Source organism: Homo sapiens, chromosome 10 (genome assembly GCF_000001405.40).
Source record: "Homo sapiens chromosome 10, GRCh38.p14 Primary Assembly".
Classification (NCBI taxonomy): domain Eukaryota; kingdom Metazoa; phylum Chordata; class Mammalia; order Primates; family Hominidae; genus Homo; species Homo sapiens.
Genome location: NC_000010.11, coordinates 18,570,674 through 18,593,100, shown reverse-complemented (window position 1 = coordinate 18,593,100; position 22,427 = coordinate 18,570,674). Strand labels below are relative to the sequence as shown.

At 42.2% G+C, this 22,427-nt stretch overlaps 1 protein-coding gene across 21 annotated transcripts in view; it reads left to right on the top strand.

Annotated features, from left to right (window-relative positions):
* NSUN6 (NOP2/Sun RNA methyltransferase 6) overlaps positions 1-22,427 on the top strand; it is a 113,767-nt gene that overhangs the window by 66,227 nt on the left and 25,113 nt on the right. For 20 of the 21 annotated variants that reach the window (XM_024447884.2, XM_011519385.2, NM_001351116.2 and 17 more), the window contains one exon: positions 7,008-7,152. In XM_024447884.2, the coding sequence (XP_024303652.1) occupies positions 7,008-7,152 (145 nt within the window). Of the gene's footprint in view, positions 1-4,428; positions 6,399-7,007; positions 7,153-22,427 lie in introns of those variants that run through there. The other variant, XM_047424784.1, reaches the window with a different exon arrangement.

Genomic DNA, 22,427 nt, shown 5'->3' with positions numbered 1-22,427 from the left:
TCATATGTTTATTGGCAGCATAAATGTTGTCTTTTGAGAAGTGTCTGTTCATATCCTTCGTCCACTTTTTGATGGGATTTTTTTTTCTTGTAAATTTGTTTAAGTTCTTCGTAGATTCTGGTTATTAGACCTTTGTCAGATGGGTAGATTGCAAAAATTTTCTCCCAATCTGTAGGTTGCCTGTTCACTCCAATGATAGTTTCTTTTGCTGTGCAGAAGCTCTTTAGTTTAATTAGATCCCATTTGTCAATTTTGGCTTTTGTTGCCATTGCTTTTGGTGATTTAGTCATGAAGTCCTTGCCTATGCCTGTGTCCTGAATGGTAATGCCTAGGTTTTCTTCTAGGGTTTTTATGGTTTTGGGTTTTACATTTAAGTTTTTAATCCATCTTGAGTTAATATTTGTGTAAGGAAGGGGTGCAGTTTCTGTCTTCTGCATATGGACAGCCAGTTTTCCCAGCACCATTTATTAAATAGGGGATCCTTTCACCATTGCTTGTTTTTGTCAGGTTTGTCAAAGATCTGATGGTTGTAGATGTGTGTTGTTATTTCTGAGGTCTCTGTTCTGTTACATTGGTCTATATGTTTTGTTACCAGTACATTGCTGTTTTGGCTACTGTAGCCTTGTAATATAGTTTGAAGTCAGGTAGCATGATGCCTCCAGCATTGTTCTTTTTGCTTAAGATTGGCTTGGCTATACTTGCCCTTTTTTGGTTCCATATGAAGTTTAAAGTATTTTTTTCTAATTCTGCTAAGAAAGACAATCGTGGCTTGATGGAAATACCGTTGAGTCTATAAATTACTTTGGGCATTATGGCCATTTTGATGTTATTGATTCTTCCTATCCACGAGCATGGAATTTGTTTCCATTTGTTTGTGTCCTCTCTTATTTCCCTGAACAATGGTTTGCAGTTCTTCTTGAAGGGGTAATTCATGTCCCTTGTAAGTTGCATTTCTAGGTATTTTATTCTCTTTGTAGCAATTGTGAATGGGAGTTCACTCATGATTTGGCTCTCTGCTTGTCTGTTGTTGGTGTAAAGGAATGCTTGTGATTTTTTTGCACACTGATTTTTTATCCTGAGACTTTGCTGAAGTTGCTTATCAGCCTAAGGAGTTTTTGGGCTGAGACGATGGGGTTTTCTACATATACAGTCATGTCATCTGCAAACAGAGACAACTTGACTTCCTCTCTTCCTATTTGAATACTCTTTATTTCTTTCTCTTGCCTGATTAGCCTGGCCAGAGCTTCCAATACTATGTTGAATAGGAGTGGTGAGAGGGGGCATCCTTGTCTCATGCCAGTTTTCAAAGGGAATGCTTCCAGCTTTTGCCCATTCGGTATGATGTTGGCTACGGGTTTGTCACAAATAGCTCTCATTATTTTGAGATGTTCCATCAATACCTAGTTTATTGAGAGTTTTTAACATGAAGGGATGTTGAATTTTATGGAAGGCCTTTTCTGTATCTATTGAGATAATCATGTGGTTTTTGTCATTGGTTGTTTATGTGATGGATTACGTTTTTTGATTTGAGTGTGTTGAATCAGCCTTGCATCCCCGGGATGAAGCTGACTTGATTGTGGTGGATAAGCTTTTTAATGTACTGCTGGATCTGGTTTGCCAATATTTTATTGAGGATTTTTGCATAGATATTCATCAGGGATATTGTCCTGAAATTCTCTTGTTTTGTTGTGTCTCTGCCAGGTTTTGGTATCAGGATGATGCTGGCCTCATAAAATGAGGAATCATTTTCTATTGTTTGGAATCATTTCAGAAGGAATGGTGCCAGCTCCTCTTTGTACCTCTGGTAGAATTTTGCTGTGAATCCATCTGGTCCTGGGCTTTTTTTAGTTGGTAGGCTATTACCGCCTCAATTTCAGAACTTGTTATTGGTCTATTCAGGAATTTGACTTCTTCCTGATTTAGTTTTGGGAGGGTGTATGTGTCCAGGAATTTATCCATTTCTTCTAGATTTTCTAGGTTATTTGCATGGAGGGGTTTATAGTATTCTCTGATGGCAGTTTGTATTTCTTTGGGATCAGTGGTGACATCCCCTTTATCATTTTTTATTGTGTCTGTTTGATTCTTCTTTGTTTTCTTCTGTGTTAGTCTAGCTAATGGTCTGTTTTGTTAATCTTTTCAAAAAACCAGCTCCTCAATTCATTCTTTGAAGGGTTTTTTGTGTCTCTGTCCCCTTCATTTCTGCTCTAGTTATTTATTGTTTTCTGCTACCTTTTGTTGGCTCTTTCTTCTCTAGTTCTTTTAATTGTGATGTTTGGGTGTCGATTTCAGATCTTTCCAGCTTGATGATGTGGGCATTTAGTGCTATAAATTTCCCTCTTAACACTGCATTAACTGTGTCCCAGAGATTCTGGTACATTGTCTCTTTGTTCTCATTGGTTTCAAATAACTTCTTTATTTCTGCCTAAATTGTTTTATTTACCCAGTAGTCATTCAGGAGCAAGTTGTTCAATTTCCATGTAGTCGTGCGGTTTTGAGTGAGTTTCTTAATCCTGAGTCCTAATTTGATTGCACTGTGGTCTGAGAGACTGTTTGTTATGATTTCCATTCTTTTGCATTTGCTGAGGAGTGTTTTACTCCCAGTTATGTGGTCGAGTTTAGAATAAGTGCCATGTGGCACTGAGAATAATGTATATTCTGTTGATGTGGGGTAGAGAGTTCTGTAGATGTCTATTAGGTCCACTTGATCCAGAGGTGAGTTCATGTCCTGAATATCCTTGTTAATTTTCTGTCTCATTGATCTACTATTAACAGTAGGGTGTTAAAGTCTCCCACTATTATTGTGTGGGAGTCTTAAGTCTCTTTGTAGGTCTCTAAGAACTTGTTTTATGAATCTGGGTGCTCCTGTATTGGGTGCATATATATTTAGGATAGTTAGCTCTTCTTGTTGCATTGACCCTTTTGTCATTATGTAATGCCCTTCTTTGTCTTTTTTGATCTTTGTTGGTTTAAAGTCTGTTTTATCAGAGACTAGGATTGCAACCCCTACTTTTTTTTTGCTTTCCATTGACTTGGTAAATATTCCTCCATTCCTTTATTTTGAGCCTGTGTGTGTCTTTGCACATGAGATGGGTCTCCCGAATACAGCACACCGATGGGTCTTGACTCTTTATCCAGTTTACTAGTCTGTATCTTTTAATTGGGGCATTTGGTCATTTACATTTAAAGTTAATATTGTTAGGTGTGAATTTGATCCTGTCATCATGATGCTAGCTTGTTATTTTGCGCGTTAGTTGATGCAGTTTCTTCATAGTGTCGTTGGTCTTTATATTTTGGTGTGTTTTTGCAGTGGCTGTTACTGGTTTTTCCTTTCCATATTTAGTGCTTCCTTTAGGAGCTCTTGTAAGGGTGGACTGGTGGTGACAAAATCCCTCAGCATTTGCTTGCCTGGAAAGGATTTTATTTCTCCTTTGCTTATGGAGCTTAATTTGGCTAGATGTGAAATTCTGGGTTGAAAATTCTTTTATTTAAGAATGTTGAATATTCACCCCCATTCTATTTTGGCTTGTAGGGTTTCTGCAGAGACATCTGCTGTTAGTCCGATGGGCTTCCCTTTGTAGGTGACCTGACCTTCCTTTCTGGCTGCCCTTAACCTTTGCTTCAACCTTTGAAAATCTGATTATGTGTCTTGGGGTTGCTCTTCTTGAGGGGTATCTTAGTGGTGTTCCCTGTACTTTCTGAATTTGAACTTGGGCCTGTCTTGCTAGGTTGGGGAAGTTCTTCTGGATGATATCCTAAAGTGTGTTTTCCAATTTGGTCCATTCTCCCTGTCACTTTCAGGTATGCCAGTCATTCATGGGTTTGGTCTTTTCACATAGTCGCATATTTCTTGTAGGCTTTGTTCACTCCTTTTCATTGTTTTTTCTCTAATCTTGTCTTTATGCCTTATTTCAGCAAGGTGATCTTCAGTCTCTGATATCCTTTCTTCTGCTTCATCGATTTGTCTATTGATACTTGTGTATGCTTCAAGAAGTTCTCATGCTGTGTTTTTCAGCTCCATCAGGTCATTTATGTTCCTCTCTAAACTGGTTATTTTAGTTAGCCATTCCTGTAACCTTTTATCAAGGTTCTTAGCTTCCTTGCATTGGGTTAGAACATGCTCCTTTAGCTCAGAGGAGTTTGTTATTACCCACCTTCAGAAGCCTACTTCTGTCAGTTTGTCAGTCTCATTCCCTGTCCAGTTTTGTGCCCTTGCTGGAGAGGAGTTGCGATTATTTAGAGGAGAAGAGGCATTCTGGTTTTTGGAATTTTCAGCATTTTTGTGCTGTTATTTCCTCATCTTCATGGATTTATATACCTTTGATCTTTGAGGTTGATGACCTTTGGATGGGATTGTTGTGGGGGTCTTTTTTGTTGATGTTGTTGCTTTCTGTTTGTTAGTTTTTCTTCTAACAGGCCTCTCTTCTGCAGGTCTGCTGCGGTTTGCTGGAGGTCCACCCCAGACCCTGTTTGACTGGGTATCACCAGTGGAGGCTGCAGAACAGCAAAAATTGCTGCCTGTTCCTTCCTCTGGAAGCTTCATCTGAAAGGGCACTGGCCCGATGCTAGCTGGAACTCTCCTGCATGAGGTGTCTGTCGACCCCTGTTGGGTGGTCTCTCCTAGTCAGGAGGCACGGAGATCAGGGACCCACTTGAGGCAATCTGTCCCTTAGCAGAGCTGGTACACTGTGCTGGGAGAATCCCCCTTGTCAGGATCAGCTTCTCTCTTCAGAGCCCGCAGGCTGGAAAGATTAAGTCTGCCCAAGCTGTGCCCACAGCCACCCCTCCCCCCAGGTGCTCTGTCCAAGGGAAATGAGAGTTTTATCTGTAAGCCCCTGAGTGGGCCTGCTGCCTGTCCTTCAGAGATGCCCTGCCCAGTGAGGAGGAATCTAGAGAAGCAGTCTGGCCACAACTGCTTTGCTGTGCTGCGGTCAATTCTTCCCAGTCCAAACCTCCCAGTCTCCTTAGCACTGTCAAGGTACAACAGCCTCCTGAAGACTCAGTAATGGCGGATGCCCACCAAGCTCGGTCATCCCACGTTGACTCCAGACTGCTGTGCTGGCTGTGAGAATTTCAAGCCAGTGGTTCTTAGCTTGCTGGGCTCCGTGACAGTGGGACCTACTGAGTGAGACCACTTGGCTCCCTGGCATTAGCCCCCTTTCCAGGGGAGTAAACGGTTCTGTCTTACTGGGGTTCCAGGTGCCACTGAGGTACAAAAAAAAAAACTACAGCTAGCTCGGTGCCTGCCCAAATGGCCGCCCAGTTTTGTGCTTGAAACCCAGGGCCCATGTGTAGGCTCATGAGGGAATCTCCTGATCTGTGGATTGCAAAAACCATGGGAAAAGCGTAGTACCCAGCCTGGGTAGCACAGTTTGTTCCTCACAGCTTCTCTTGGCTGGGGGAGGGAGGCCCCCCAGCTGCTTGCACTTCCTGGGTGAGTGACGCCCCATCCTATTTCTGCTGGCTGTCCGTGCGTTGCACCCACTGCCTAACCAGTCCCAGTGAGATGAACTGGGTACCTCAGTTAGAAATGCAGAAATCACTCACGTTCTGCATTGGTCTCGCTGGGAGCTACAGACTGGAGCTGTTTCTATTCAGCTCTCTTGGCCCCTCCCAAATTTTGACCTCTTATCTTTATTGACTTTGACTTAAAGTGTTACTATATAAAATTTTCTTGAACTGCGTTTTATACCATACCAAAATATTTTGCTATGCTATACAGAGGTTTTGGCTTATATTTTTCCAGTTTTGGTTGCCAGGGTTCACAGGAATTATATGTGGCTAGCTGGGAAATATTAAAATGACCAGTCATACAAGTAACATTCATTTGCATCTCAAAGCACTTTAAGGCCGCCGTCTAATAGCATTAGCTCATGTTGTTCCAGAGGTGAGCAAGGCACATCAAATTGGTGATTTTTAATGTTTGCCTCCAGTGGATGTTTTTAAGTGTCTTTCGAAGATTGCAAATACTTTTGGTGTTGAGTTTTGTTGATTAAAAGTAGCTAGTTATTATAAGATTATTTTTCTGGCAAGAATGTGTATTTTCTTAATGGAAAGCCATAAGTATTTAATGTGAATTGGATATACATGAGAGGTGAAGCCAACTGGACTTCCTGGGTCGAGTGGGGACTTGGAGAACCTTTCTGTCGAGCTAGAGGATTGTAAACGCACCAATCAGTGCTCTGTGTCTAGCTAAAGGATTGTAAATGCACCAATCAGCACTGTGTAAAATGGACCAATCAGCGCTCTGTAAAATGGACCAATAGGCAGGATGTGGGCGGGGCCAAATAAGGGAATAAAAGCTGGCCACCAGAGCCAGTAGCTGCAAGCCGCTAGGGTCCCCTTCCACATAGTGGAAACTTTGTTCTTTCGTTCTTCACAATAAATCTTGCTGCCGCTGACTCTTTGGGTCTGCACTACCTTTGTGAGCTGTAACACTCACTACGAAGGTCTGCGGCTTCACTCCTGAAGTCAGCGAGACCACGAACCCACTGGGAGGAACAAACAACTCTGGACGCACCACCTTGAACAGCTATAACACTCACTGCGAAGGTCTGCCGCTTCACTCCCCAAGTCAGCAAGACCACGAACCCACCCGGAGGAACAAACAACTGCAGACGCGCCACCTTTAAGAGGTGTAACACTCACTGCGAAGGTCTGCGGCTTCACTCCTGAAGTCAGGGAGACCATGAACCGACCGGAAGGAAGAAACTCCAGACACATCTGAACATCTGAAGGAACAAGCTCCGGACACAACGTCTTTAAGAACTGTAACACTCATCGCAAGGGTCTGCGGCTTCATTCTTGAGGTCAGCGAGACCAAGAACCCACCAGAAGGAATAAATTCCAGACACATACATTTGGTTAATGGATAGAGGTTTTAAATTAGGGATGGGAGTATGGTGGAAAAGACCATAATTTTTCATGTTTTTCTCATTATTTTTATGACTGCTTTGGATTTATAATTTTCTTTTTTTTTTTCTGCATGTGTGTGTTTTGTTTCTTTTTAGGGAGAAGTTATAGCACTGGATAAAATCTTCAACAAAGTAGAAAAAATCAAACAGAATGCCTTATTGTTAGGGCTGAATTCCATCAGGGCATTTTGTTTTGATGGAACAAAGGCGGTTAAACTTGATATGGTGGAGGACACAGAAGGTGAGCTATTTTGATTTTCTTATTTTTAATTGACAGATCATATATTTGTGGCATACAGTGTGATGTTTTGACATGTATATAATTTTGTATACAATGTGGAATGATTAAAACAAGCTAATTAACATATCCATCACTGTACTTATCCTTGTGGTAATTTGAAATTTACTCTCATAGCAGCTTTGAAACACAAAATACATTAGTATAGTCACCATGCTGTGCAGTAGATCTCAAAAACTTACTCCCGTCCATCTGAAACTTTGTACCCTTTGAACAGTGTCTCCCATTCCTTGGTCCTCCCTCCTCCCCCAGCCTCTGGTAACCACTATTCTTTCTATGAGTTTGACTTTTTTAGATTCCCCACTTAAGTGAGATCGTGTAATATTTGTCCTTCACTGCCTGGCTTATTTCACTTAGCATAATATGATGTCTTCCAGGTTCATCTATTTTGTTGCAAACAACATAATTTCTTTTTGTTTTAAAGGCTGAATGGTATTCCATCGTGTGTATGTACCACATTTTCTTTATTCATTCGTTTCTTGATGGATTCCATATCTTGACTGTTGGGAATAATGCTGCAGTGAAATGAGAGTGCAGATATCTCTTTGACCTGCTGATTTCAATTCCTTTGTCTATATACCCAGTAGTAGGATTGCTGGGTAATTTGGTAGTTCTATTTACTTTTGAAGAACCTCCATACCATTTTACATAATGGCTGTACTAATTTACATTCCTACCAACAATGTAAAAGAGTTTGGTTTTCTCTGCATCCTTGCCGGCATATATTATTTTTTGTGTGTGTGTTTTTAATGATGGCCATTTTAACTGGGGTGAGGTGACATCTCGTTGTTTTGATTTGCATTTTCCTGATGATTAGCGATATTGGGCATTCTTTCATAAACTTGTTGGCTATTTGTATGTCTGTTAGGTCCTTCTCTCTCTTTTTTTTTTTTTAATAGGTCTCTATTTTTGAAAGATCTATTTGAAATAGGTCTTTATTTTTGAGAGATAGTTTTACTGAGTATTAAATTCTTGGTTGATGGGTTTTTTTTTTTCTTTCTGTACTCTGAATATGTCATGTTACCATCTTTGGGGCTCCATTGTTCCTAATTAACAATCAACTGCTAATCTTTTATAGTTCCCTAGTACATGGCAAGTTGTTTTTCTCTTGCTTCCTTTAACATTTTCTCTTTGCTTTTGACTTTCAACATTTTTACGATGATGTATCTGGTTGTGGATCTTTTTGCATTTGTCCACCTCAGAGCTAGTTGTTCTTTTTGGATGTGTACATTGCTTTTCATCAAATGTGGGTCATTTTCAGCCATAATTTTTTGAATATTACCTTTTTTTCTTGCTTTCCTTTTGGGACTACCTAAGTTGTGTTAATAATGCCTAAGTTGTCTTAATAATGTCACAAGTTTCTCTGAAGTTTGTGGTCATTTGTCTTCATTTTTGTATCTCTCTGACCTTCAGATTGTAACCAAAAACCTGATTAGCTGCATGCCACATTTAGAGTCTGATTAACAAGAATAAGGTCTGGTACAAGGAAAATGGTTTCTTCCAAAGCTAGCTTAGGGAATGAGGCATACAGCATCCTGCGTTTATATGTGCTGCTTCACCTTTGGAGCAGAAAGCGGAAACTTTTATAAGGTAAGGGGGGAAGTGAACGAGGGCAGGGCTCCCACTGCTAGCTGGTGCCTAATCTAACACAGTTTAATTGGCACCTTCCTGGGCAGGAATAAGTTGTAAAAGTGGCCAAGCAGGCATGATTTCGATATGTCCTCCTGGTGGATGAAAGTGCCCCCTACTCCCCACAAGAGTGGCAACACCTAGAGGGTGGAAATTTCAAGACCACCCCCTGGAGGTGAAAGTTCGCTGGCCAGTATGGTTTGGTCTGCAAATTGACTGTCAGTTCTCTAGGAGAGATCTGTCTTGGAGGCTTAGTTAGAAGAACTTGCCCTGCAGGGTATGTCTGGTGAGGGGAAAGTGTGTAAAAGATTAAATTTGCGTTTCTGAAGGGCTGAGTAGGAAACAAACGGGGAATAGGGAAAGGGGAGAAGAGAACAGAAAATAATTTTTAAAATAGCAATTCATTCCTTTTTTCTTAGAAAAATGCAAGCACTCAGTTACAAGATTACATAATCTATATTCATCTGTCTTCAAGTATGCTCATTTTTTTCTATAGGCTTAACTCTGGTTGAGCCCCTCTAGTGGAATTTTTAAGAATTGTACTTTCAACATCTTGATATCCTTTTTTAAAAATTTCCCTCTATTGATATTCTCTATTTGATGAAACATGGCGACCATATCTCCCTTTACATTTTTAAGCATGTTTTCCTTTCTTTTAATTCTTTGAACATATTTTTATTGGCTGCTTTAAAGTTTTTGCCTGCTAAGTCTGGCAGCTAAACTCTCTCAAAGTTAACTTTTTTGGCTGCTTTTTCTCCCCTACCAATGGGTCACATTTTCCTTTTTCTTTGCATATCTCATATTCTTTTTTCGGCTGAAAACTGGACATTTTAGGTAATACTGTCAACCGCGTCTGTGTGAAGAGACCACCAAGCAGGCTTTGTGTGAGCAACAAAGCTTTTAATTCACCTGGGTGCAGGTGGGCTGAGTCCGAAAAGGGAGTCAGCAAAGGGAGATAAGGAAGGGGTTGCCTTATAGGAGTTGGGTAGGTAATGGCAAATTACGGTAAAAGGTGGTTATCTATTGTTAGCAGAGGAGGGGGTTACAAGATGCGTGGTGGAGAGATCCTAAGACTTATTGTCCAGAAGAAGAATGTCACAAAGTTGACTGATCAGCCAAGGTAGGGCAGGGACACGTCACAATAGTAAAATATTATAATTTTAGTTGATCAGTTAAGGCAGGAACTGGCTGTGGTTTTTGGCTGTGGTTTTTCTTTGACTGCTCCAGACTTCTTGGCTCCTGCAGGCTATCTGGATGTGTATGTGCAGGTCACAGGGGTTATAATGGCTGAGCTTCGTCTCAGAGGCCTGACAAATACATCGTAACAACTTGAATGCTAATTCACCTCCTCCCCAGGCTTGTTGTGATAGTTTGCTTATTTGTTTAGTGTCATGGCTCCACTATTTTAGTAAACTGTATTCCTTCAGCATGTGCAGCTGAGATGTCACTCCTCAGCAGCTTTTTTGACATGGGCATAGTACTCCTGGGATTACAGTGGTTTTAGTTTTCGCAGGGCTCACTTTGTCTCTTTCCCTGCTCTTTGTGTTAAACTGTGTGCTTCAGTTGGCATTACAGAGCACTGTTACCCTCCACTAATTGCAGATTGATTGCTTTATTCTTTTCAACAGTGCCCTGGGACATAAGTTGCCCCACCATCTGATCCAATGAATATGAGATCCTTTGCATAGGTAATCTTTCTGAATAGTCTTTGAGGTTTTTCCCAGCCCAGAAGGCTCTTCTCGCTGTCTCATACCTTGATTCTCTCATAAACTTCTCCGGTCTTTGGTTTAGCGGATTCTTCTCATGGAGCTCCCAGCCTCCTCTTAATTGCTCACCACCACAATCTCCGTTATTTTCAAGAGTGTGCTGAGGCTTAAAATTCCACACCTTCTGTTCAAAATAAAGTTAGTTTGTTACAGTAGGTAGCTAGTCAGACATAAACAGGGCAGGAGAGAGCCTCCACAACCGGGAATGTCAGGCAAGCATCAGGTGACGGTCAGGCAGTTGTTAACTGTCTTTCTAAAATAATAATTGGTTGCAGCCAGTGCCAGGGAAAGGTAGTCTCCCAGAAGACAGAAAAAACATGAAACTGGTGATCAGCATTCTGATAAGATCTCAGGAGTTGGCTGAGTGGGCTCACACATGCACACGAAGGCAAGGTCTTGGAAGTTTAACTGGTATATGACCTCCTAGGGACTTTCGGCTGGTAAGGGAAGAACGCCTCAGCAAGAATGCACACAACTCCAGTAATTATGTTACTGGAAAGGGGTCCAGATCCAGACCCCAGGAGAGGGTTCTTGGATCTCCTGCAAGAAAGAATTCAGGATGAGTTCATAGAGTAAAGTGAAAGCAAGTTTATTAAGAAAGTAGAGGAATAAAAGAATGACTGCTTCATAGAGCAGCCTTGAGGGCTGCTGGTTTCCCTTTTTTTTTTTTTTGAGATGGAATCTCACTCTGTCACCAGTCTGGAGTACAGTGGCACGATCTCGGCTCACTTCAGCCTCCGCCTCCCGGGTTCAAGCGATTCTCCTGCCTCAGCCTCCTGAGTAGCTGGGACTACAGGCGCATGCCACCGCACCCAGGTAATGTTTTGTATTTTCAGTGGAGACGGGGTTTCACCATGTTGGCCACGATGATCTCGATCTCTTGACCTTGTGATCCGCCCACCTCGGCCTCCCAAAGTGCTGGAATTACAGGCATGAGCCACCACGGCTGGCTTGTTTGCCCATTTTTATGGCTATTTCTTGAGTATATGCTAAACAAGGGATAGAGTATTCATACCTCCCATTTTTAGACCTTATAGGTTAATTTCCTGATGCTGCCATGTCATTTGTAAATTGTCATGGTGCCAGTGGGAGTGTAGCAGTGAGGACCACCAGAGGTCACTTTCATCGCCATCTTTGTTTTGGTGGGTTTTAGCTGGCTTCTTTATTGCAAACTGTTTTTATCAGCAAGGTCTTTATGACCTGTATCTTGTACTGATCTTCTGTATCATCCTGTGACTAAGAATGCCTTAACTTACTGGGAATGCAGCCCAGTAGGTCTCAGCCTTATTTTACCCAGCCCCCATTCAAGATGGGTGGTTCAAACGCCTCTGATAAACACACTGTGCACGCTCCCCTCCCAAGTGCGAGCAGGCCACTGTCCATGCTGGCAGCCCACCCCAAGGGAAGAATCAGGAGAAGTAACGCCAGACCCCAGAAGTATGTCAGCATACAAAACCCCAAGTCAGAAGGTCAGACCATGCACTTGATCTCTCAAGTCGCCCAGTTGGCCCTCTTCCAAGTGTACTTTACTTTCTTTCATTTATGCTTTAAACTTTCTAATAAACTTTCACTCCTGCTCTAAAATTTGCCTCAACCAAGATCACTCTGCCTTGTGCCCCTTGGTCGAACTCTTTCTCCTGAGGGGGCAAGAATTGAGGTTGCTGCAGACCCAAACAGAGTTACTCCTGCTAGCAAGTTCACTTGGGGAGAGCTTCAGAACTCTGTTCTTCCTTTCTGCATCTTGGGTAAAACCTCTGGGCCACTGCTGCAGAGATGGGGGCAGGGCAGTGGTTTGTTTCTCTTGGAGCCAGACTCTTGATGCTGGGCTGGGGTGGCAGCCTCTGGTCTTTTGGCTTGCCTCTCCTGGGATGGAACCTCTTCACTTGGCTCTTGGGTGAGGGTAATCAGGGGTTAAATACTCTTAGCCTACTGTGCCTGGGTAGAGCTTCCCACCTATGAATGGGGGCTGGGTGGAGGAAGATAGCCCCCAGTTCTCTGGCTCTTATCTGGAATTATAGCCTGTGCAAGGTGGAACTGGGGCACATGAAACAAGCTGACAAGCCTGTCCCTCTTAGGGAGAGACCACAGTCCTTTCATTCCTTGACTGGGAGCTTAAGGAGAGAGGGAGTCTTGTGTTCTTGGCTGCACCCACATGAAGTGGATCTTATTCTGAGCTTCGGAGAAGTGGAAAGTAGTTGGAAAAGGGAGAAAAGAGCGGGTCATGGCACAAATGCACAGATTCTCACTGTTCTTATTAAGCTGTGGTTGATTTTCTTAAATAAATGTTTCTTCATTTGCTGTGTGGTCTTAGGACATTTTCCAGAGGCTTCAAAGGGTTGTTTTTGTTTTTGCCGCTGGCGAGAGCGTCTGCAAAACTCCCCATGCCCTTATTCCAGAAGTCATGTCAATCTCATTTAACACAAAATTGTTCCTAAATTACACACCACCTCAAAGTAATACAGTTTCAGAGATCCCTAGGTGTAGTTACAGGTGCGAAAGGAAAATAAATCTTGGGACCCCAAATCACTAAGCTAAAGGGAAAAGTCAAGCTGGGAACGGGTTAGGGCAAACCTGCTTCCCATTCTTTTCAAAGTTATCCCTCTGCTCACCTGAGACAAATGCACATATGATTGCCTTCTCTCCCCTATTGTTTATGTAAAAATGCAGATTTATTGAGGCAGACTAAATTGTGTATTCAGTGGAAGGCTGATCAAGACTCAAAAGAATGCAACCCTCTGTCTCTTAGCTACTCCTAACCTGGAAGCCCCACTTCCACCTTACCGGAGAACCAGTGTACATTTTACACATATTGATTGATGTCTCATGTCTCCCTAAAATGCATAAAAGCAAACTGTACCCCCAACCACCTGGGGCACATGTCTCAGGACTTTCTGAGGCTGTGTCATGGACGCATTCTTAACCTTGGTAAAATAAACTATCTAAATTGACTGAAACCTGGTTCAGATATTTTGCATTCACACAGGACTATATATTATGTGAAAAAGCGTTTAATGAATAAAAATATGAGGCCGGGCGACGTGGCTCACGCATGTAATCCCAGCACTTTGGGAGGCTGAGGCGGGTGGATCACGACGTCAGGAGATCAACACCATCCTGGCTAACACGGTGAAACCCTGTCTCTACTAAAAATACAAAAAATTAGCTGGATGTGGTGGCGGGCGCCTATAGTCCCAGCTACTCAGGAGGCTGAGGCAGGAGAATGGCATGAACGGGAGGCAGAGCTTGCAGTGAGCCGAGATCGCTCCACTGCACTCCAGCCTGGGTGACAGAGCGAGACTCCGTCTCAAAAAAAAAATAGTAATAAAAAAGTTAAAATATGAGTATTCTTAAACTATAAATAATTCTTAGCATATATCTCATGCCTTTCTAATTTTGAATAAAAGAAACTTCACTCACGCCAGGTATGTCTGGGGGTCATTCTGGTGATCCTAGCCTGTTCTAAGAAAGGTCTGGAATATTTGTAGGAGTTTCATAATTTAATGTCTATATAATTATCATCTAGTACTTCAGTGAGAATATTAGAAGTGGTGAATGCAGAGATGACACATTACCATTACCGTTGACAGGTTCACCATTTACAGATGTGTCCTATGTAAGACATATGATTGAGGGTGAGTGCGCTGAAATGCAGCCCATAGTTTCTTCGTCATGGTACAAGATCATTGATACGGAGCTTGGGCACCTTATTCCATTTTTAAAACAGGTAGCTTGTGGGCTTTCAGGTAGCCTGGGCCTTTAAGGAACTGTTGTGAGCTGTGTTTTACTGGAATTCAGCTGGCCACAGGATTAAAAGACAACCAGAAGGTATTTCAGTAGAGAGAATTTAGTACAAATTTATGCCGGAGAGAGAGAATATAAACCAACAGTCTAAGGAATTAGTTGAATTGATGTTGGGGGGCTGTAAGCAACGGAGAGCCCTGGGGCAACCTAGAGCTGATGAGTGCAGGGAGCAGCCCTTTCCCCTGAGCCAGAGAAATGACAGGAAGGGCCACCTACCACAACCGAAAGGCTTACAGGATTTGAAACCAGTCTGGCCAACATGGTGAAACCCCCATCTCTACTAGAAATACAAAAATTAGCTGAGTGTGGTGGCATGTGCCTGTAATCCTAGCCACTCAGGAAGCTGAGGGAGCAGAATCGCTTGAACCCAGGAGGCGGGGGTTGCAGTGAGCCGAGATGGTGCCACGGCACTCCAGCTTGGGTGACACAAGTGAAACTCCATCTCAAAAAAAAAAAAAAAAAAATAGGCTTAGAGAAGAGGCTCCATGGAGCTGGGCTTCTCAGCTCAAAGGTCCTGCCTAGCTGCTGCTCGTTACTCAGGACTCAGAGCAGGGCACCTCCTGGTTATAAGTGTGCCTTTACTGTGTTATAAGTAAGGTTTTGGTGCTGCAAAAGAAATAGCACTCGAATATACAATTTTCTTTTTTACTTCTCAGCAAGGCGATTTACTTCTGTAGAAGGGTACGCCCTTACAGATGGAGCAATGGTAAGCTCACACTTGGACAAGGGAGGGGAAGGGGTTCTTATCCCTTACGCGTATGGCTCCTGCTGCTGTGTCATTCCCCTATTGGCTAGGGTTAGACCACACAGGCTAAACTAATTCCGGTTGGCTAATTTAAAGAGAATGACAGGGTGAGTGGTTTGGCGGGAGCCAGGGTAGATCAGAATGAGTCAGGGAGGAGCAGGTAATCAGAATGAGTCAGGGTGGAGCAGGTGATCGATAAAGGTTGGGTTACGAGGAAGTTAAGTTTAAAAGTAGAAGGCCAAGAATTGAACATACTGACATATTGATTCTTTGAAGAGAAATTTAGAACTCATATCTAATAATTCCCTCTTCTCACATTTTCCTTATAGCTCTTTCTCTTCAAACTTCTTTAACATGTCTTGGCTTAGTTGTTCTGCTTGATTTTCCAAAAGGAGAAACTTCTCTGGATAAGGTGGAGATAGTTAAGGGAGATTTTAGTAAGTGCCATTTCTATGAGCCTCTGTACCAACCCATGGATGCGTGATATGACACAGCACCCAAGAAGAAGAAGTACACCCATTACGGCTGCGAGGGAAGTAAGAATTGAGGCTATTATTCCTTTCCATTTACCGAACCACTTTTCTAGCCATTCTATAAAAGGGTCATTTACCCTTGAGTTGTTGGCTAACTCATTAGACAGAGCAGTCAGACCTTGCAATGCCTTTGTTATATTTCCATCAGGGGCGGTGGTGTTTGGGATGAAGGTACAACATTGAGTTTTAATTATGAATCAAACTCCTCCTCTTTCTGCTAATATCATGTCTAAGGCTGTCCTATTTTCCCAAGCTATCTGGCTAGTAGCCCCTAATTGCTCAGCTATTCCTTTAACAGCATCTGTAGTGTAGTTAATAAATCGCCGTTGGTTGTAATAGATATAGTGTATCCAATCTACATTTTTATTGTCACCTACCAAAATATTGACTCAAATCCTGCAGCTATTTGATCTCAGGCTTTAAATTGATCTGGTATTCCCCATGAGACTCCAATTGCGTCTAAATAGACATGAGAGTTGAAGGACCCATAAGGGGCTTCTCTTGCTTACAATGTCCTATTTTTTCTTCCTCTGGTTGATGAAATGCCAGGGTGAAAGGGATAGCTAATTGTACTAAAGCACAGGTGCCACTCCAGTTACTTGGCAGAGTATCCAGTAAAGGTCTACCACAATACCACCACAATCTGCTCGGGGACGAACAAGGGCTGACTGACTGGTAAGCTCTTAAAAATTCTTAAGCTCACTGCATCCCTTCCGGTCTCCAAGGAATGCTAAGTTTCCTCCCTGTCATGAGAGACACAAAGTGAACTTAGTGTTGGGGGATGGAAGCTGGATGGCCCTCGGGGGCTGACCTGCAGGGTGTCAAACTTCGGGATGTAGCAGAGAGAGAGCTTGGCATGACTTGTTACCCCAGGCTGTAGAATCCTGGAAAAGAGTTTTAGTTTAGTTTTAGGAAATTACAAAAACCTTTTGGGGCAGTCCATCCTTGCTCTTTAGTGGTCCACAGAATGTTGGACCAACTATGGCATAAAAGCTCTACATTGAGGGTAAGACTCCTGGTTGACACTGGGGTCTATTGAAATCTCCCTGGATTAAATGGTCCCAATTCACTAATACCTAGTCTGAGGAGAGCCAGGAGGGACAGAGGTACTTTTCTGAAGTGGAGATCTGTCTTCGACTTGGCAAGTCCTTATAGGGTATAAGAAGGCAAGCATCAAATGCAGTAGTTTGAGGTGAAAATGACTTGGTTATGTTAATACTAGATGGTCAGCAATAGAGCAAGGAAAGAAGAAAGAGTAATAGATCAAAGAGTTAAATTCTTAGCTTTAGTTTGGTGTAGGGTTTTCCCCTGGGACTATGGCCCATGACTCTGGATGGGGCAGCGCTTTCTTGACTCAGTTGTGATGAGTCCATCCTCTCTCAGCTGTACGGACTGTGGTTTCAGTAGTTAGGAGCACTAAGTAAGAACCTTCCCAGGCTGGCTTGAGCTTCTCCTTCCAGCTTTTGATGAGGATGTGATCCCCAGGCTGATCTTGATGCACCCGGAACTCTAAGGACAGCGCCTGTACTAATAGACCTTTAGTTTTAAGAGAAGAGAAAGTAGAAAATAGACCAAGTATATAATTTTTTAGGAATTGATCTTTTGTTTCAAAGGTAGGAGTATCAGCAGCGGAGTGTAAATAAGGCAATCCATAGAGCATCTCATAAGGAGAAAGACCAGTATCTTTCCGTGGTGCATTTCAAATTCTCAGCAGGGCAATAGGAAGACACTTGGTCCATGGCAATCGAGTCTCTAAGACTAACTTGGTTAAGTGGTTCTTTAAGGTCTGATTCATTCTTTCTACTCTCCCTGATGAGGGTTGGTGCCAGGGAGTATGGTATTGCCATCTAATGTCTAATGTTTGGGATAGCTTTTTAATAATGTGTGTGGTGAAATGAGTTCCATTGTCTGAATCAATGTTCTCTATTAGTACAAACCTGGATACTATATTTTCAATTAGGGCCTTAACTACATTATTGGCTGTCGCATTTGAAATGGGGATAGCTTCAGCCCAGTGAGTGAGGTGGTCTACTATCACTAGTAAATATTTTAGACAGCCTATTGGAGACATTTCTGTGTAATCAACTTGGATACTTTGGACTGAACTTAAGCCCAGATTCCTTTACCTGAGAGGTAATCTTTTTATAGTTTCTTAGTTTTCTTATATACTAAGCAACTATTTATAACCTGTTTGGCCAGGGTATAAATTCCTATACAACCATAAACTCTGAGAATTATGTCACACATGGCCTGGGGCCCCCAATTGGTCCCTTGATGTAGTTAGGGTAAGACGTCCCTCATAAGGGGTTTAGACAACATTTCTCTCTGGTCTGGCAATATCCATTTTCATTCTGAATTCTCTTTAGCGCCTATTTTTATTAGTTTTTCCTTTTTGATGGAAGAGAAAATGGGGATTACAGTAGGAGGAGGGAGATGGGGAGTTAAGTGAAAAATATGCATTTCAGAAGATACAACAGACTGCTTGGCTACCTGATCTGCTGGGTTATTTCCTCGACTTTCAAAAGAAAGGCTTTTCTGGTGTCCGGAAACATGGACAATAGTTGTTTCCTCTGGCAACTGAAGATTATTCAGTACTCGGGTGATTAGCTCCTTGTGAACAAGGTCTTGATCTTTAATATTAATGAGACCTCATTCACTCCGAATTTTCCCAAATGTATGAGCCACTCCAGAGGCATACCTGGAATTGGTATAGATGGTTCCTTCCTGGTTCTGTAAGTACTGTAAGGCTTGGCTGAGTGCAAACAGCTCACACGTTTGAGCAGACCAGCTGTTGGGCAAGTTTCCTGACTCAATTTCTACAAGAGTTTCTCTATCAATCACTGAATGCCCATTGTGTCTTTTTCCCTCAGTCACCTGGGAGGAAGCATCTATGAATAAGTGCCATCCAGTCTGGAAGGGAGTTTCTTCTAGGTCTGGTCAAACCTTTGTATGATAATAAATTAAATCTAACGTGTGTTCCCTCCTTAGATTTGGATTTCCTGTTAGGAAACCTGCTGGGTTGAGTGAATTTTCGGTGGTCTATGTTAAATCATTCTTTTCTAACATAATGGCTTCATACTTTAAGATTCTCGAGTCAGTAAGCCATCTCCCTGCTCTCTGGTTAACGTAGTTCTAACTTGGTGAGGCGTGCTTGCTCTCAGTTTTCCTCCAAAGGTTAACTTTCTGCTTTCTTCGACTAATAACTGTGGTAGCCGTGTTGGACTGGATGCATTGAGGCCATCCACAAGTGACTGGGTCTAAGACATTTGATAGGAAGGCCACAGTCTGCTGGCAGCCTCCGTGTTCTTGAGTCAGCACTCCTAAAGCTACTCCACTGTCCACATTAACAAAAAGGTGGAATGGCTTTTCTGGGGAGAGTAAGGCTAAAACAGGGGCAGTTATGAGCCTTTCCTTCAGCTCCTCGACTTGATTAACTTCCTCAGAAGTCCACAGGATATGGTTAGGCTTCTCCTGGGCAAATTTTCGATATAACAGTTTACTGTGCAGTGCATATGAGTCAATCCATAAGTGGCAGTATCCAACTAAGCCTAAAAATTTCCCGAGTTCTTGTTTAGTTTGAGGCAAGGGTAGGGACGTGATTCCCTCGATTTGTTCACACCTTATTCTTCACTTGCCTGCACCTACTAAGTGGCCTAAATATTTAACTTTGGGCTTTACATACTGAAGCTTTCTTTTTGAGACTCGTAGCAACCCTCAAACTGCAGATGGTTAAGAATATGTGTAGAGAAGTCAGTTACCTTCCCTATATCTTCATCAGATTTGAGAAGGTCATCCACGTACTGGAGAAGGCATATTTGTTCTGGGATGACAACTTTTTCTAGAACTTGTTGTAAAATTTGGCCAAAAAGACTGTGGGAGAAGGGAATGGAGAATGGAGAACGGAATGGAATGGAACGTAGAATGGTATGGAGAATGCAATGGAATGGAGAATGGAATGGAATATGGAATGGAATGGAGAATGGAATGGAAAGGAAAATGGAACCGATGGAATGGAAGGGAGAATGGAATGGAATGGAGAATGGAAAGGAATTGGAAATTGAATGAGGAATGGAAAGGAATGGGTAATGGAATGGAATGGAGAATGGAATGGAATGGAGAATGGAATGGGATGGAGTATGCAGAATGGAATGCAATGGACAATGGAAAATGGAATGGAGAATGAAATGAAACGGAGCATGCAATGGAGTGGAGAATGGAGTGGAATGGAGAATGCAGTGGAATGGACAGTGGAATGGAATGGAATGAAATGGAGAGTGGAACGGAATGGACGATGGAATGGAATGGAGTGTAACGGAGGATGGAATGGAATGGAGTGGAACGGAGAATGGAATGGAATGGAGAAGAGAATGGAGAATGGAATGGAATGAAGAATGGAATACAGTGGAGAATGGAATGGAATGGAATAGAGAAAGGAATGGAGAATGAAATGGAATGGAGAATGGAATGGAATGGAGAAAGGAATGGAATGGAATGGAGGATGGAATGGAATGGAAAATGGAATGGAGAATGGAATGAAATGGAGAAAGGAATGGAATGAAATGCAGAAAGGAATGGAATGGAATGGAGAATGGAATGGAGGATGGAAGGGAATGGAGTATGGAATGGAATGGAATGGAGTTTGAAATGGAATGGGGAATGGAATGGAGAATGAAATTGAAAGGAGGATGTGGAATGGAATGGAGAAGGGAATGGAATGGAGAATGGAAGGAGAATGGAAGAGAATGGAGAATGGAATGGAATGAAGAATGGAATGGAGAATAGAATAGAATGGAAAGGAGAATGGAATGAAATGGAGAATGGAATGGAGTTGAAATAGAATAAAAGGAAAGGAATGGAGAATGGAATGGAATGGAAAATGGAATGGAATAGGGAATGGAGATGGAATGCAGAATGGAATGGGGAGTGGAATGGAATGGGGAATTTAATTGGGAATAGAACAGAATGGGGAATGGAATGGACAATGGAATGGGGAATGGAATAGAATGGACAATGGATTGGAATGGAATGGAATAGAAAATGGAATGGAATGGAGAATGGAATGGAATGTGGATTGGAATGGAGAATGGAATGGAATGGAGATTGAACTGGAAGGGAGAGTGGAATGAAATGGAGAATGGAAGGGAATGGAATGGAGAATGGGATGGAATGGACAATGCAATGGGGAAGGGAATGGAGTGAACAATGAATTGAAATGGAATGGAATAGACAATAGAATGGAATGGAGAATGGAAGGGAATGTGGAGTGGAATGGAGAATGGAAGGGAATGGAGATTGAACTGGAAGGGAGAGTGAAATGAAATGGAGAATAGAAGGGAATGGAATGGAGAATGGAATTCAGTGGGAAATGGAATGGAAAGGAATGCAGTGGAGAATGAAATGCAATGGAGAATGGAATGGAATGGAGACTGGAATGGAATGCAGTGGTGAATGGAGTGGAATAGAAAATGGAATGGAATGGAGAATGGAATGGAAAGGGGAATGGAATGGAGAAAGGAATAGAATATGGAATGGAATGGAGAATAGAATGGAATGGAAAATGTAATGGAATGCCGTGGTGAATAAAATAGAATGGAGAATGGAATGCAGTGTAATGGAATGGAGGATGGTATGGAGAATGGAATGGAATGGAGAATGGAACAGAATGCAGAATGGAATGGAATGGAATGTGGAATGGAATAGAGAATGGAATGGAATGGAGAATGGAATGGAGATGGAATTGAGATTGGAATGGGATGGAGAATGAAATGGAGTGCAGTGCAGTGGAGAATGGAATGGAATGGGAGAATGGAATGGAATAGAGAATGGAATGGAATGGACATTGGAATAGACATGGAATGGAGAATGGAATAGAATGCAATGGAGAATGGAGTGGGGAATGGAATAGAATGGGGAATGGAATGGAAAGGGGAAGGGAATGGAATGGAGAATGGATTGGAATGGAATAGAGAATGGTTTGGAATGGAATGAAGAATGGAATGGAATAGAGAATGGAATGGAATGTAGAATGGAATGGAATGGAGATTGAACTGGAATGGAGAGTGGAATGCACTGGAGAATGCAAGGGAATGGAATGGAGAAAAGAAGGGAATGGAATGGAGAAAAGAAGGGAATGGAATGGAGAAAGGAAGGGAATGGAAAGGAGAATGGAGAATGGAATGGAATGAAGAATGGTATGGAACAGAATGGAGAATGGAAGAGAATGGAAGGGAATGGAATGGAGAATGGAATGCAGTGAAGAATGGAATAGAATAGATAGTGGAATGGAGAATGGAATGAAAAGTGGAATGGAATGGAGAATGGAATGGAATGGAGCATGGAATGCAATGAAATGGAGAATTGAGTGGAGAGTGGAATGGAAAGTAGAGAATGGAATGGAATGGGGAATTGAATGCAGTGGTGAATAGAATGGAATGGAAAATGGAATGGGAATGGAATGGAGAAAAGAGAACATGGAATGTAGAATGTAATTGAATGTAGAATGGAATGGAATGGAGAATGGAATGGAATGGAGAATGCTATGGAATGCAGTGGAGAATGGAAGAGAATGGAATAGAGAATGGGATGGAATGCAGTGGTGAATAGAGTGGAATGGAGGATGGTATGGAGAATGGAATGGAAGGGAGCATGGAATGGAATGGAGAATGGAATGGAGAATGGAATGAAATGGAGTGGAGAATGGAATGGAATAGAGAATGGAATGGAATGGAGCATGAAATGGAATGG